At 37.7% G+C, this 15,806-nt stretch overlaps 1 protein-coding gene across 7 annotated transcripts in view, besides 1 other annotated feature; it reads left to right on the top strand.

Annotated features, from left to right (window-relative positions):
* Nucleotides 1-15,806, top strand: part of FAP (fibroblast activation protein alpha) — a 72,762-nt gene that overhangs the window by 43,577 nt on the left and 13,379 nt on the right. For 3 of the 7 annotated variants that reach the window (NM_001291807.3, NM_004460.5, XM_011510796.4), the window contains 5 exons: nucleotides 988-1,112; nucleotides 5,121-5,168; nucleotides 10,115-10,213; nucleotides 10,697-10,766; nucleotides 11,506-11,700. In NM_001291807.3, the coding sequence (NP_001278736.1) occupies nucleotides 988-1,112; nucleotides 5,121-5,168; nucleotides 10,115-10,213; nucleotides 10,697-10,766; nucleotides 11,506-11,700 (537 nt within the window). Of the gene's footprint in view, nucleotides 1-987; nucleotides 1,113-1,570; nucleotides 1,691-2,128; nucleotides 2,918-5,120; nucleotides 5,169-5,688; nucleotides 6,691-10,114; nucleotides 10,214-10,696; nucleotides 10,767-11,505; nucleotides 11,701-15,806 lie in introns of those variants that run through there. The other 4 variants (XR_001738668.3, XR_922891.3, XM_011510797.4 and 1 more) reach the window with 4 other exon arrangements.
* Nucleotides 14,908-15,077: an enhancer, noted in NCBI's record as "experimental_54994 CRE fragment used in MPRA reporter constructs". NCBI's record gives its function as "activates a minimal promoter by MPRAs in K562 erythroleukemia cells, with activity observed for the non-introgressed 2:163041387 variant allele {active_cell/tissue: K562}" and the evidence as "EXISTENCE:reporter gene assay evidence [ECO:0000049][PMID:34662402]".

Genomic DNA, 15,806 nt, shown 5'->3' with positions numbered 1-15,806 from the left:
GACATATGTTAACATACTAACCCTAACAGAGGAAATAAGAAATTTTCCCTCTGTCATATTCCCCTGTTCCCTCCTGGATCGTGATCTTACTTTATGTGTTAAAAAGAATCACTCTCTGGGTCCAGCAGTGTCTCTGGCCTGGCCATTCTCTGCCATGCCCAAGGCAAAGTCAGGGACAGCAGCAGAAGAAACTCACAGGTTGGCACAGGAGACCCTGACAGGCACCATGGGGTCCTGACCTGTCCAGACCCTGGCATGACATCCTCTAAACTCCTCCACATGGAATTCTGATTCTGAGGGTGTCGGATAAGGTCCCTGAGTCTGTGTATTGAAGCCAATCACCCTGCTCAGGAACCACACAGATGACTCTGCAGGGTGAGTGTAGGGCCAATGTGGGCAGTGCAGATTGGCTTGTGTAGACTGTGTGGAGGGGGCATTCCCAGCCTGAGCTTCCATGAGCCCAAATTTCCTGCTGAAAGGAATGAAGGCGCAGAAGGCACTTAGAACTGTAATTTCTTATTTCCAATTTGCTTATTATTAATTTCCCCATCCTGATATATGGTAAGAACAGGGACTCTTTCTTGGTGATACTGCCAGATTTTCTTGCTATGTTTTGCCATGGGGTGGAAACAGAGAGATAGAAAGACGAAGAACTATGCATTCCCAAGCACTTTGTGAAGTGTAAGAGATGAATGGTTATGGGAAGTGACTACCTCACTGCCATTTGAGGTGTTAGATATTTCTCCCACTCCAGGGAAACCACATAGGGCTTCTTCCTCAAGGTTTGTGCCTATTAAGGCAAAGATGGATCAAAAATCAAGCTACATCAAAATACTGTGATTCCCCTTTACTTTAAATGATATTGGCAACAGAAAAATAGAGTGGGTTTGATGTCAATATGTAAATTAGTCACTTTACATGGAGTAGTACATTTTGATAAATACAATCTCAAAATTTCAGCTTAGTTTTATTTTCATTTCCCTCTAGAATTAGCATTGGAAGCTATCCTCCAAGCAAGAAGTGTGTTACTTGCCATCTAAGGAAAGAAAGGTGCCAATATTACACAGCAAGTTTCAGCGACTACGCCAAGTACTATGCACTTGTCTGCTACGGTAGGTAACGGACCTCACATAAGCACAGCATCCCCACAGGCATGGTTGTCATCCTCCTCACCTCTATCTGATCAATTCGTAGCTACAGTTAATGAGCATTTGTTATATGTAAGAATCTTATCTTGTGCTTATAGAAAAAAAATTAAAGGAGGATAGGAAGGTATTATTATCTTTACTTTTTTGCAACTGAGGAAACAGAGTTTGGGGAAACAGGGTAACTTGCCAAAAGGTCCGCACTGCAGCTAAGCATCAGCCAGGACTGAAGCAAGTGCTGTTGCCTCTAAGTCCCATGCTCTTAACCACCACATTCCACAGCACTAAGACTGCGTGCAGAGGCAACCCGTCAGCTAGGCTTCGCAAGACCTGAGCAATCGCAGAAAAAGAAATGTTCTCTGATAAAATGGTTGCTGGACTTTTGGCCCCCTTTGCCCAGAGAAATATCAAACTCTCACATCCAGGGGAATGAACAACGGCTTGGAAACCCGAGATGCCCACGTCGGAGGTCAATCATTCCTCAAACTGTAGTTTCAATGGGGATAGAAGATGAACCTTTGTCCTTTCTAAATTTGGAAAACATCGTAAGTAATGCATCAAATATAACAAACCATAAGTAATAAAATCTACAAAACATTTCCTGGTTGTTTAGGACATACGTACATTTAATGAATAATTTCTACCCATATAATTTTATTTTATGTGCAACCTTTTATCTATATCTTGAGCATGTGGCAAACAATAAAACAGGTTAGGTTAAGAGGCCAATATAGATCAATGAAATATATTGGGGTCTAAGTAGTCATTATGGAGATTTGGAAAACTGACTCGGGAATCTCTAATTCTCCAATCTCTGTCACCTCCCTCCAGCTTATTCCTAATTTGGGGCTGAGAGTTAGAGTACTTGGAAAAAGGTATTACAAAATGTATGCTACCCTCCTGTTTTGGTATCAGCTCCCCTGGTAGGGGTATGTGGCTTAAAGAACAAATGGAATCTTTGACTGCTTGATATCCCTATTCAGTTGCAGAGGCCCTGAAGATCTCATAAAGGGAACCAGAATGAAGGCTACCCTAACATGCCACTTCCCTCAGTCCAGCCACCTGGCCCCGGAACCTGAGCTGCAGCTCATTTGACTACGTGGACATGAATAAGCATTTTAACCCAAATTCTCCCTTGAAGATAGCACAAAGATGTCAGTTTGAAATAACACTTTCATAAAATGTTTGGTCAATGGCATCTTTGAAATGTCAAGAGATTGTTGTTCATGACCATATGTGCTGATTGTGGTTACTGGCATTTAAAGGTATACATTAAATGTCCCTCTCAAGTTATATGCAACATTTTTCAACCTAAGCTATATATTTATGCAACATAGATTGAAAGCTTACATGCCAGGCACATAGTATCATTGAGCTAACTATACTGAGTCATCTGTTTATCTATCTTTTTCTCCTGGAAGGCAGGGGCTACATTCTTTTAATCTTTGTATTTCTAAGACCAAGAAGAATGTCTAATACATAATAGACATTCAATGTTTGTGGAATTAACATAGATATGAGGTAACATTGCTGTCCCTTGCAGTCTACCAAAAAAGCTGGTTTTATGCTGATGCATTTGCTGATGAATGCATCAGTGACACTACATTTACATCCATGCATTTATATATGTATGCATTCTGCATTTGTATAATGCTTTAATGTTTTTGGAAGGCACTATCTCACATTTTGTATTACGTTGTCTTCCTAATATCTACTTGAGCCTGTGTGCCCACTGAAGAGATGAAGAATAAAAGCCTAAGCTCTCATCAAAAGTTGGTGGAAGAGTCCTTTCTAGAACTTGAATCGCCTGACTTTTCCACCACTCACTCTTCCTCGGCAGTATGGTAATTTCCCATTTAGCAAAAAATATACTGTGTGGGAAGCATCACATCGTCTGGTGTTTTTGAAGCTCCAGTAAAATGAGTCACTGCGCCATCATAGGAAAAACCTTGAAATCTTTCCCTTCAGGACTAAGAGTAAAGCCTCATTATGTAACTTCAAACTCTCCCGAGGGATGGTTAGTAAGTCCCAGATGATAGGATCAAAACAGGTAAAATTATATCGATGATGCTGATGGAACAAAAGCATGCAAGGTAGGCTTCTCAAGGTCTGATGTTTAGGCCACTAGGATCACACCTTCATCCAGTGTCAAATACAGTCAGTCATTTATCTGTCTCATTTTTTAGGCAAAAAAAAAAAAAAAAAGATATGCAAGTTTCCATTATTGAAACTACACACTCATGAAAATTCCACAGGGTAGATGCTGGTTGATTAGAGTCTAGAAATTTATATTCATGTCTCATTTCTTTGCATGCTGGCTGAAAATGTAATATGTGTATTTGTCCTTTTTCATAACTTTGATGAAAAACTGGCCAAAATGAAAATCTCTGCAATAACATTCTATAAAATTCTGAGATTCCACACAGGAAGTTTTGAGTCTTGAGGGAGCCTAATAAATACTATCCTTTTTCCTCATTTCCAAATTAGACTAGGATTCAGGCAGGAAACCAAAATATTATCTTTACTTGTAAAGGCTAGTTGGAAAATGTGGTAAAGCTGTGTGGTTTCCCAATATTGCATCCCAGAATTATACTTACACAAATATAGGTATGACAGGGCAGCCACCATCTTCCTCCATGGGGCTTGGCACTGGCACAGGTACAGCACTGAGGAACGGATCAAAAGCATGTTCTCTGCAGGCAGAAAGATGCCAGAAGAAAGACAGAAGGAGCTACTCATACCCAAGTCTTCTCAGAACTCTACAAAAAAATCATTTCTCCTCTGCTTAGCATGAGCCAAGCATGCTACTTTAATGGGTTCCCTCCACATAGAAGGTAGCATCCTCACCCTATCTGGGGGGGGTGGGGTGGCAAATGAACATGTACCTCCAACCTCCACATTTGTTGCTTTTAACCTACTGACTGAGCAAATTTATGCTTAAAAGGTATATTTCCAGACATTATTTGATCCTGTATTTCAAATAAGGAATAATTTGTTTTTAATTATTTGTAGATCTTGCTAAAAATGGCCAGTTTCTGCATAGAGAAGCTGAATGCATGTTGGAATATGTAGTGGACACTGGTGTGCCAGCCAGATCCCTTCATCCCCATCTTCAGGACTGACTCAGTCATTTCTTCAGCTACTGAGAGTGCTAGTGGCTGACAACTTACAGCTGAGCACGCCCCCCAACCCTACCTCCCCCCAACCCGGGAGAAGAGAAGAGTTTTCTCTTCTCCCGGGCCACATCCAATGCTAGGGGGGTAAAGCTCCATGCTAGGGGGTAAAAGTCAGCCTTGTTGCCCCATTGGAGACAACTCTACAAGCTATCTAGGGGTCTCTATGTGACAGCAATGACATCCACCTTTCTTCCCTGCCCTATTCTTCCTCCCTTTCCCCCACAAGTGTGCATCCCAATACCACCCCCACAAACCTCCTTCCAAGACTGCTTCCCAGGGACCTGCCACAGCATATTTTAAAAGGAAGTATATCCCATGTAGATTTCTGCATGTATTATTCCATGGAAAAAATACTCGATTTTACCCATCTAAATAAGCTGAACATTGAACCAAGAAGCCAGATTGAAAATACAATCTGGGTACTGGTGAAGGTTGTTTGATAATAAAGACACAGCCAAAACTGGCCCAATACAGCATGACATCTTCCCAGAAGGCCATTTGTCACTGCAGCTTCTGGGGTGCATTTGTGTAATTCGATATTAATGATTCAGGATTAGTCTTGGAAAAGTGCACAGGCAAGGCTTCTTTCACAGCTGTTCTTTGAGTGGGCTTTGATCTCATGTATTGTTTAAATGTGACTTAGAAGTGATGTTTTCTTCTCTATGGGGAAAAAAATAGCTGCAGAATTAAAAGATGTACTGGCACTTGACACTAATCACAAATACTACCAGCAGCCCGTCTTGAAAAGGAATTGTTATTTTAACACTAAGCCATGATTTTGTTTTCATCCTGCCCACAGGCCCAGGCATCCCCATTTCCACCCTTCATGATGGACGCACTGATCAAGGTACTCTCTCTTGCATGTTATCTATCTTGTCTCAAGTAATCCTGAACTCTCTGTGATGCTCCGCTAGAGAAAGCAGGACAGTTTCTCCACACCACCAAGGGGAACTGCGATGGAATCCTGTTATCACATCACTTATTATTGCACAGATTTGGATATTATTTGGGTCAAATATGATCCTATGAAATTTAATAATTCTTTGCAGTGAGAACCTGGCATAACACAGATAGATGAGTTATATCAGAGGGTTTAATTCTATCTTCTCCAATCAGCCTTATAAAAAGCACAGATTAGAATTGGGAAAAAACTTAGCACATTCAGTACGATCTTCCTTCCAAAATAGAATCCCTAGGGTGTTTTTTTTTTTTTTTCCTCAGGGATTGGGGGTAGGGGGTTGTTTGCATGTGTGTGTGTGTGTGTGTGTGTGTGTGGTAACATCCCAAACTGGAAACAAATTCTACATGTAACTTCTTCAGTTCAGAGCAGAGGGTGACTGTCACACCAGCTTTTTTTGTTTTAACAGCTACATCACATTGTTGCCACGTATGAACGCCCTGAAATTTGGAGGCTCTTTCCATTTTCAACTGCTATCAAGACAGTCCTCCTCTATCCTGTATTTGTGATATTGGTTCAAAATAGTTCACATCTCAAAGACGACCAGTTTTGCTCGCAGCAGAGTTGTCCAAGTATCTAATTGCTCTGATACTCTTCCTGCTGGCTCTCCATTATCTTTTGATTTACTATTAAACAACATTATAGGGTTGGAGTTGTTGGAGGCCAGGGACAATGAGGCAGATGCCACTTTCTTCAGCACTCATGCCTGCGATTGTCCCTGGACAGCTTTGGTGACAAGTCAGGAGACTGCCTTGGGATTACTTTGGCTGTCAGCTCAATGGCTCAAGTGTAGGTGAAAATAACAAGAAAAAAAAACAAAAACAGAATCAATTTGGGAACTCTGGACAGGACAGGCATTGTGATAATGGGACTGTGAATTTAGTTTCATTTTAAGGTTTTTTTTGAAACCTTGTGTCTAATAAGGAAATACTTTTAAGAATAACAGATTATATTTCTTAATTTGACCATCTCAGTCAGTGAGATTGATTTCAAGTCGACAAGGTTTTGTTTTAATAGAAATCACTATTAGCATATAATTCTCATCTTTTCAAGACTGCAAAATAATAGCCAGCCTTTCTTTTTCCATAGCATGAATTTCTACTTTCTTGAGATCCTTGTTAGATTCCTGGCAGATCTGTGTACTGATTTTGAAGCTCTATTACTTCACTCACTATTTACAAAATAGGTACGCCCTCAGATATGTCAGATGTAATTAAATAAGTACCAACAGAAAAAATCAAATTCTTTCAGAGCACAGTTCCACAACTTACCTAATGTGAAATTATTCTCCTATGTTCATTATAAATACGGATTCCCAGGACTTCCCCAAAGATTTTAATGTGGTACGTCTTAAGTTATGCTTGGAAATTTGTATTTTTAATAGTAAATGTTCAGCTGCTGTTTTGGAGCAGATGCTGTGTCTCTTATTTACATTGCATTTGGTGTCAGCAATCTCATTCAACAAATATTTATGGAACTTCTACCACATTAAGCCAGGCACTGTGCTAGGTCCTGGATCTATCTATAAAATAAAGAGATACTGGGTTAGACGATGTCCTTGTCCTCAAGGAGGTTATAGATGAGTGGGGAATATGAACATGGAAATGGGCAGTTACAATACAGTGGGGTAAGTTCTAAGATAGGGGAACTGCAGAAAGCCTGGAAGCACACAGGAAGAGCAGCTCATCTGGGTTTGGGGGGTTAGGAAATGTTTACTAATGATAACTACCACAAACCCGAGACTCATGAATATGAAGTAGGTGATAATGCTATTTGGATGATTGGCTTGATACTAATGGTTTTTTACTGAAATAGAGGAGTCATTGTGGAGATCAGGTTTTGGGAGGATGATGAATTTTGTTTTAAATGTTGAGCTTGAGGCACTGATGAGATACCTAAGTGGAGCTGCTCTGTAGTGACATCATTTTGGATCTGGATGCCAGAAGATCAGTTTGGACTGAAGATAACGATGAAAGTCATTAATTTATGGAGCATGTGGTAACTCAGGCCTTGGAAGTGGATGATATGAGCCGAGTGGACAAAACAAGAGTGGATAGGGTTAGTGGGGAGTGAGCCTACAACGAAACTGTGTGGAACATCAACACTTGAGAAATGGAAGGAGAAAAATGAGCCTGGAGAGGAGACCAAGAAGGAACAGAAGGAGGGGGATAAACTTGAGAGTATGGTATTGTGGAAAGCAGGGGAGGAGAAGAGCTCAAGGAGGAGGAAATAATCAGCTGTACCAGATGCTGCAGAGAGTGAGGGAAGGCTTGCTCTAAATTAATGGACTTAGCAAGAGGGAGATTGACATTAGCTTGGTCAGAGCCATTTCAGTGGAGCAGTGGAGGTGGAAGCCAGATTAAAGCAAAATTAGGTCTGCATAAGTAAGTTTAAAAAGACAGTATTTCCAGTTGGTCTGAGTGTGATGAGAAGAGGGGATTGGTGGGACGATGGCTGTAAAAGATTGATGTAGGTTTAATTTTGTTTTTGAAAGAGGATAAACATTTGAGTATGAGTGGATGTGATAGAGGAAATCAGCAGAAAAAATGGAAGGAAAACATAGAGGAGGGAGGTCCCTAAGAAGTTGAGAGAGGATGAAGATCAGAGACAGGTAAATGGATTAATCTCTTGTGATGTGATGAGACAGAATAAAGAAATTGTTGGTAGAATTGCATGAAAGTTGGAACACAGTGAAGTGGCTTCATTTTCCCTGCAAAGAGGGGGAAGTTTATTTGAAAACAGCAGGTAGTACTTGAACCAGATTCCGTGGGAATCCAGAAGAGCTGGAATTGTCAGGGAGGGCCCAGTTAAAGCTTAGTTGCTTTGGGCACAGAAAATGCTCATTAAAATTAATCAATTCATGACATGCCCTTATTAATCAGCCTTTCTATGGATTCTCCCCATAATTTAATCAGCAATATGGGATTTTAAAACGATTCAAACAGAAATCAAGTATAAGATCCATCATTGTTACAACTCAATTTCATCACAATGAAGAGCCTACAAATACATGTGGAAGCAGATACTACATGCCAGATACTAGGTGCTGTGTGTGCTTGGTACTGAGTATACGGTGATGGGAGAAAGAAAGTAAAATGTGTGGTCTGACCTGTACTCCCTTTGCTAGGTTATGGGTTTTTAATGCACAGCCTTATTGAGAAGCCCAGCTGCCACCTCTCACTCTTGCCACTGCCCCCTGTGAGATTCTGTTTGTGCTCCAAGAGGTGGAAAAATTGCCCAGTCACTATCCATAAAAAATGCAACTCTGAACCATAAAAGCATTTAGATTAAATTTTGCATTTCATTAAGTCATGTATCAGAAAAGTTCGATAGCTAAGAATAGAATGAAGAAGGAGTCAAAGCCATAACCACGTGACAACACCCGGATACTGTCTCCCACTTCCAGTGCTTGTGGTAAAATAATACAAATAGTAATCAGTCAATCAATCAGCCAGTCTGTGTGCTTGATCCACACAGGAGTCTCTTTATCGATGGCAGCTCCACAAACAGAATCCACGCAAGAATGAAGGGTTGGCTCTACTGTACTTAGAATTGTGTATTCATTTTACTTTTTTGGTTTTAACTTTTAAGGTGTCACAAGTATCTCTTCCCTGATGGATTACCCAAAGTTAATGTGAAATTCATTATGTATCTTATACAAATCATACCCAAAACATCTATACTTGTGCTAAGATTAAATATAACATGTTGGAGCAAAATGCCATGAGTATATGAAAACTGAGAGTTACAAGAGAAGTGGTTTGGCAAACTTAGTATAGTTACAAGCACTCCTCCAGCTCTCTCTCTTCAGAGACCACTCTTTCAAAAAGGCATAAAAACAAGAAGTCCATGGACATCTTTTGTAGCAATAGATATACCTCACAAGTCATCCAGCCCCTCTTTTAAAATATAAAGCTAAAACTCCACATATTATTTGAAAGGCTAACTTTTCTCTAGAAGATGCTGATATCAATCCCAGGTTCAAAATAAGGTCTATAAAAAGCCCGCTATTGCTAGAAACCTATTTGCATGTATTACCAATCTACAGATTCAAGAGATCAATGGATTTGTTCCTTTTCAAATATTAAGGTGTGAAATATAACTGAGCTCAAGTATAAATAGCAGGTTTTAGATTTTTTAAAGATTTAAGACAGAGAAAGAGCATAGTGTGTGTTTGTGTGTGTGTGTGTGTGTATACACAATATATATTGTTGTCTTACTCAGATATATCACTACCTTGAGAGAAAGGATCTGAAAGAATAGCATACAACTAATTCAATTACCAAAAACAGGAGAATATCCTTTATTAATCAAGTACAACAGGAAAGCGTAAGAAAGAAAGATTTTAAAAATCACAGAAATAATATTCAACTTTACACATTAAAAATTAAAAAGCAAATTTTGGAAATACACAATTAATTATTTTAAATTTGAGGCCCCAGCAATCCAGATTGTATTTCCACTACATTTTTTTAAGTATATGATAAAAGAAATATCACCTGCTTAGGTCATGGCTTTAAACTTAAAAACAAAACAGCTTTAGATGGGAAAACGTGATTGAATAAACATTGTTGCTCCTGTGATTTTTGCTCAAAATGTGTTCTGATGCTATTAGAATTAGTTAAAGACACAGTGATTAAAATGTGATGTCCTTCATAAGCTTATATCTGCTCTAAAGGCTGGATTATAAATACATTTGTCAATATGAAACTTCACTTCTTAAGCGAGCTTTTCACAGTTTCAGTTTCACCCATATTGAAGTCAAAGGAATTTTAAGGAAAAAAATTGTTTATGGAAATACTATTGATTAAAAATGAACATTTAACATTTTTCAGAAATTAAAATCCTGGAAGAAAACAAGGAATTGGAAAATGCTTTGAAAAATATCCAGCTGCCTAAAGAGGAAATTAAGAAACTTGAAGTAGATGAAATTAGTAAGATCTTTTAAAAACTTCTCATTTATAGATATGAAGCTGAGCAATTTTCTTGCTTTTAAAAAAGCATAGAGTGAATGTTACAGTGCAAATTCTGCGATCTATTAATATTACAGGATTTCATTTAAAATAATCTTACTGTAACAATTCTTAGTTTTACTAAATATCTTTAATATGTTTGTGAACATGGTTGATCTTATACCTTTTCAATAGCTTCCTTTCCACACTGACGTTTTTTTAAAAAGAGCTTATCTAATTTTAATTTTAAAATGTATCCTTCTAGAACAAATAGTAATTCAAGGTTTCTAGTCATTTATACATTTAACACAAAAATTTAATAAAAGTTACTTTTAAATATATCCTAAATTCTTAACAATTTAGTAGTTGAAAATTGATTTTATTGCATATATTGTTATTAAAGACAATAAATGATGCTACTAGTGCTGTGGAATGAAGATTTTTCTCCTTTTTTTTTCCTCAAAGCTTTATGGTACAAGATGATTCTTCCTCCTCAATTTGACAGATCAAAGAAGTATCCCTTGCTAATTCAAGTGTATGTAATATTTTCTTTGGTGTAAAAACTATTTACTGAAAATATGTTAGATGAAATACACATTTATGAAATAGAATGAACCATTCTCCTTGGTAACAGTGCCTATTGATGCTGTTTTTATATATTCTTCAACTAATCAGAGTAAATAAAATATGGCTATTTAAAATAGATTGAGGAAGTTTTGAGATTTTAGCTGGACTTGCTTGCATTTGCTGTGTTAAATTTCCTTTGTATGGCAATTTGCCGAATGTGTCAGAATACCTTTGAGATAGAGAAATTGCAGCCAAAAAAAATATTGTAAATCATCTTCACATCTTATGTAATTGAGTTAGAAATGAAATAAAGGAATAGAATACATTTAGTGGAATCACACCCAAAATCAGTGCTGACCTACACACAATTTGCTTAAAACACCATGCATTTTTTTTAGTATATCTTATGTCTGCTTTTAGCAAGTGGCAGGTGGCAGAAATGACGAAAAACCCACACATATTCCTTGAAATGCCAACCCTAGATGTATCCGTTTTGGGGAATAGGAGAGGCTGTGTCCCAAAACAACTTCCTTGTAGCAAACCTCTGGGAAAAGCCTGGACTCCTCTTGATTTTGAGCCAGTTCTAACGCCATTGTTATTTTATCACATAATTGTACTGGAATTACTAGAAGCAATGCTTGGCCAGGATGGGAAATTGAGTTTTACAAAGCAATCAAAGATTCTTGTTTTTTTTGTTTTTCCTTTAGGTATGGTGGTCCCTGCAGTCAGAGTGTAAGGTCTGTATTTGCTGTTAATTGGATATCTTATCTTGCAAGTAAGGAAGGGATGGTCATTGCCTTGGTGGATGGTCGAGGAACAGCTTTCCAAGGTGACAAACTCCTCTATGCAGTGTATCGAAAGCTGGGTGTTTATGAAGTTGAAGACCAGATTACAGCTGTCAGGTGAGCACCTTCTCATTCAAGCAGATGTCAACATGCAACAAAAGTCATGCAATCACTATTGTGTTTCTCCATTCTTCATGACTTAATTCTTTTGTTTTTCTTTTTCTAACTTGGTCTAAAACTATCACTAATCTTAAAGAGGTATTTCTGCCAAATATGAAAAAAAAGTATTTATGGAAGAGAGCTAACGAATGTGTAGAAAAATGATTTCAAGTGCTAAATGACAAATACCCTCTTTTGATGTGTTGTCATTCATTCCAATATCTTTTAATTTAGTTCCATTTCTTACAATTGATAGAAAAACTTTGAACTCTAATGATGATCTTCAGGAAAACAAATATCTGAATTTGCTCAAGCATTGTGGATTCTGCCTCTTAAGTTTAGAAATGGCTCAAGATTTTATCAGCACTACATACTTTTAGATGTTAGGCCTTCATTTGTGGTTAAACTAGCTATCAGTCGGCCATGGTAGCATGAAAGTGTTTGCCTATTTTCGTTTGACAAAAACATAGTCATTTTACACAACAGAAATTATATTATGAAAACATTTAGGGAAAACACAGATTCATAATCTGATTTCTTCTTCTCAACTATATATATTTTCAACCATGATTTATGGTTCAATCATCTTTTCCTGAAACAGGACTATATAGGCACCAAAATTGTGGCTTTTTTAGAAACACTGTGCAAATAATTCTTGCCATGTCTCTATAGTTGTTGGGTTTCATTATTATGTTATGAATAGGTGAAGCTAAGAATAATAGTTCGTAAATTTAAAAGGTAGCAGGCTAATTGCACTCTCAGTCGTGAATATATGTGCATGTGAGGAGCTAAAGGTCAAACACTGTTTCACAGGCAAAGAGAAATTTAGAAATTTCTTTAGTACATTTTTTATCCCCTTAATGTTATTAATACTTAATGATTTCACTGCAACATGCAGAATAAAGATTGTATTTAACAGCCTGGAGCCAGGCCTAGACAACACTTTTCTATATTTTTGTCTCTAATCAAAGCAGAAGAGTTTAGACTCACAAGTAATTATTTTTAAAAATAGAAAGGTGTCCATAACCCATACATTTTCAAGTGCTTCTTTCATTCTGGGAACAAACAAAATGTTCAATTAAAAAAAAAGTCTATCTGAGTACAATACGACAAATTAGTAAGTAGGTTACTAACACTAAAATCTGTAGCTATCACTCAATTTCTGGAAGCTCCCTCTTTCTTATGGACTCAGACTTTTGGCCTTTCAACTATTCACTTGTTTGGAGGAGATAGTTCAAAGAAAAACCCCACTGAGACATCAGTTTCTCCTATAAAGACTGTAGTGTGCCTTAATGAGAATATTAACGCCATCCTCAGAATTATAGCTTAATTCCATGGGGGACTTTTTTTAGCACCATGGCTCACATCTATTTGCATTTAAACCATGCAATAAACATCAAGGACATGTAATCCTGGGACTACATGAAAACAGAGATGAAAATTATGCCTCATTTATAATTTATTTAGATCTTTTCCAAAGCTGAAAGAGCTAAAAAGTTGTTTATTTTGGCATTGGTTAAAAAATCATTGTCTTCATCATCGTCATCATCGCAACCCACCAGTAACAACAAAATATGTCATTATACTTTTATGGGTTTATTTACCACCACAGATGCACCATTTGAACCTAAGAAGAAATAGCTTCTTAATATTTTCCTTGGATGAAATGAAAATTTAAACCTGAGCCATGATATTCAACATACAGGACACAAAGCCATAAATTCTACCTTCTACTGATTTTCGCAGTAATACCAATTTGTCTTTGGCATTTAGAATTGAAGATGGACTAGAGGTGGTAATTGGATACCTCTACTTTCTCTGAGCCATTTTTAGGATGGAATCTGAAGAAAGTCTTCCTGCTATAGGGAAAACATATGTTCACCCATATACTCAGCCATTCAACAACATAGCAAATATTAATATTAATACATGCCATTGCAGTACACTCTGTATAAAATTGTGCAATTTGCAATTTCTGTTTTCAGTGTGCTTGCAATCTGGTAAAAGTAAATAAGCCACCTACACTCTGAAGGGACAAAATTGTTGTTAGATCAAACTTTTAGTAAACACCCCAGAGAATATGGGCAGCTGCGTGGCCCCATGCAAAGTCTATAAACAACAGTGGAGATGACAGCCAGAGCTGGCCTTGGTTTTTGCTTGAAATTGTTCTTATGCAACTGTGAAAAGGAAGCCTTATAATCCAATGCTTTGAGAAAACAAAAGCTAAATAGGATAGACTCAGAATAATAATCCTAGGGATGATTCAATATACCTCCTAAGGAAGTGTTTTAGGAATCAGACACTAAATGCCTGACCTGGGGAATTGAGATTATAATACTTCTACTGTAGCCCTTAAATTGCCTCTCAGAGAATAAAATTTCTCCCCTGAATCTTTTACAAAATGCAATCTGGCTAAGCTTTTGACATACCAAAAGAAAATCGTACGTACATATTTGGAAACAACAGTAAATACTACTCAAGGCCAACAAATAGATTTAAACAAAGCAAAGTAGGGGAAAAAAAGAAGTCATATCGTCTTATAACTTCTATCTATGTGAAAGAAAATGCGTCAGAAGAGATGTTTGTGAAGCTACAGACATAAGGGAGACTGGAACCCGCTTTCTTTAGGTGTCTCTTCAAATGGTACATATGTGAGACCCTTAAAACTTTGGTGGTTATAAGGGCAACTTTGCTCATTTGGAGTATATTTGGCACTTTTGATATTCCCACAACTTTAAAATTTGATATAACTTGAGGGTTAGTGGTGGGGAAGAATTACATGAGATGAAATTTTCTATCATGCTTTTATAGATGGCATGAATAAGAATATTTCTAAAATAGGATAATAATTGATCGCTATGATTCCAAGTTTACCTTGGCCTTGGGCCAACTTTATGAGAGAAAAGTTATAAAGTTCAATCCAGACTCCAAGATTAGAAAAACATCCTTTTCATTTGTTACTGACATTTTGTTGATATAACCACATTATCAACAGTATTTACAACCCTCTGGGAAACTCTTCAGAATTTGAAGGTGAATTTTATAGTGCCTCGTTGGTCTGGAAGTGCTAAGATTATCTAGCTAACCTTTAACCTAGTCCTGCAACATTCAGTGTTAATGTTTCATTTCCATGTTAACTATTGCACTATCATTTCCTGTAAATGTCATCCTTTCAGAATAAACCTAGGAAGAGAGCTGTTAAGAGTTTCCTGTTCCCATGTATCACCTGTTATTTGCTCTTTACCCCAGATGTAAGGTAGTATGATTGTTGGCTTCTGGGAGATCATAAAATCACAATTGATTTTATGGCTCAGAACTGTCTTCAAGCACCAGTAGCAAGGTTATTTTTTTTTTAACAAGAAAGTGAACCTTCTCTTCTTTCATTTGATTTTTGAAGTTTGTGCAAGAATTGCTCAAGTGTCACAATTTGCTGCACATTTTCTCCTCTATACCATGAGCAGCATCCACACAGGTAGCAACTTTCCATTTGCTACTGCATTTCTTCTCTGTAGACTCCTCAGTGTCCTTCAGAATCAGTGTCGGGTAAGCTGTGACTAACGGGGCCTCTTCCCATCTGTTTGTCCCGGGCATTTGCCCAACTTCTCTATGCATCGGAAACGTGCATGTTGAATCAATGCAAGAGCGAAATGGTTGCTGTGAAATCCCTTTAAGAAACTACATTATTCAAGTAATGAAAATCACTCAGTTCTACTTCCAGAGAAGAACTGATGAGAAAGGTCTTTAACAGTAATTGAATGGAACAAGAAGATAGTATTTTTCTGGGACTGTGTGTCTCCTTTGGTCTTCTCCCCTCCTTCCTGTCACTGTTGCATACGGTGGTTTCTGCAATGGCTGATCCAGTTTGCCACATTCCACTCCGGCTGCTGTTTCTCTGAGATTTTCTTGAGTTTTTATCAAACCAATCCCCAGATAAATCACAATTGCTCTAGAACACCAGCCCTCAGGGTAACATGTTAGAAATTAGCTTGAAACCCTCAATTTTGAGGGTTTCCCATGACTTTTTAAACGTTGTCCTTCAGTGTAGCCCCTTGCTCCTAAGGAAA

This window comes from Homo sapiens, chromosome 2 (genome assembly GCF_000001405.40).
Source record: "Homo sapiens chromosome 2, GRCh38.p14 Primary Assembly".
NCBI classification, from domain to species: domain Eukaryota; kingdom Metazoa; phylum Chordata; class Mammalia; order Primates; family Hominidae; genus Homo; species Homo sapiens.
This window is presented reverse-complemented; position numbering and strand designations above follow the sequence as displayed.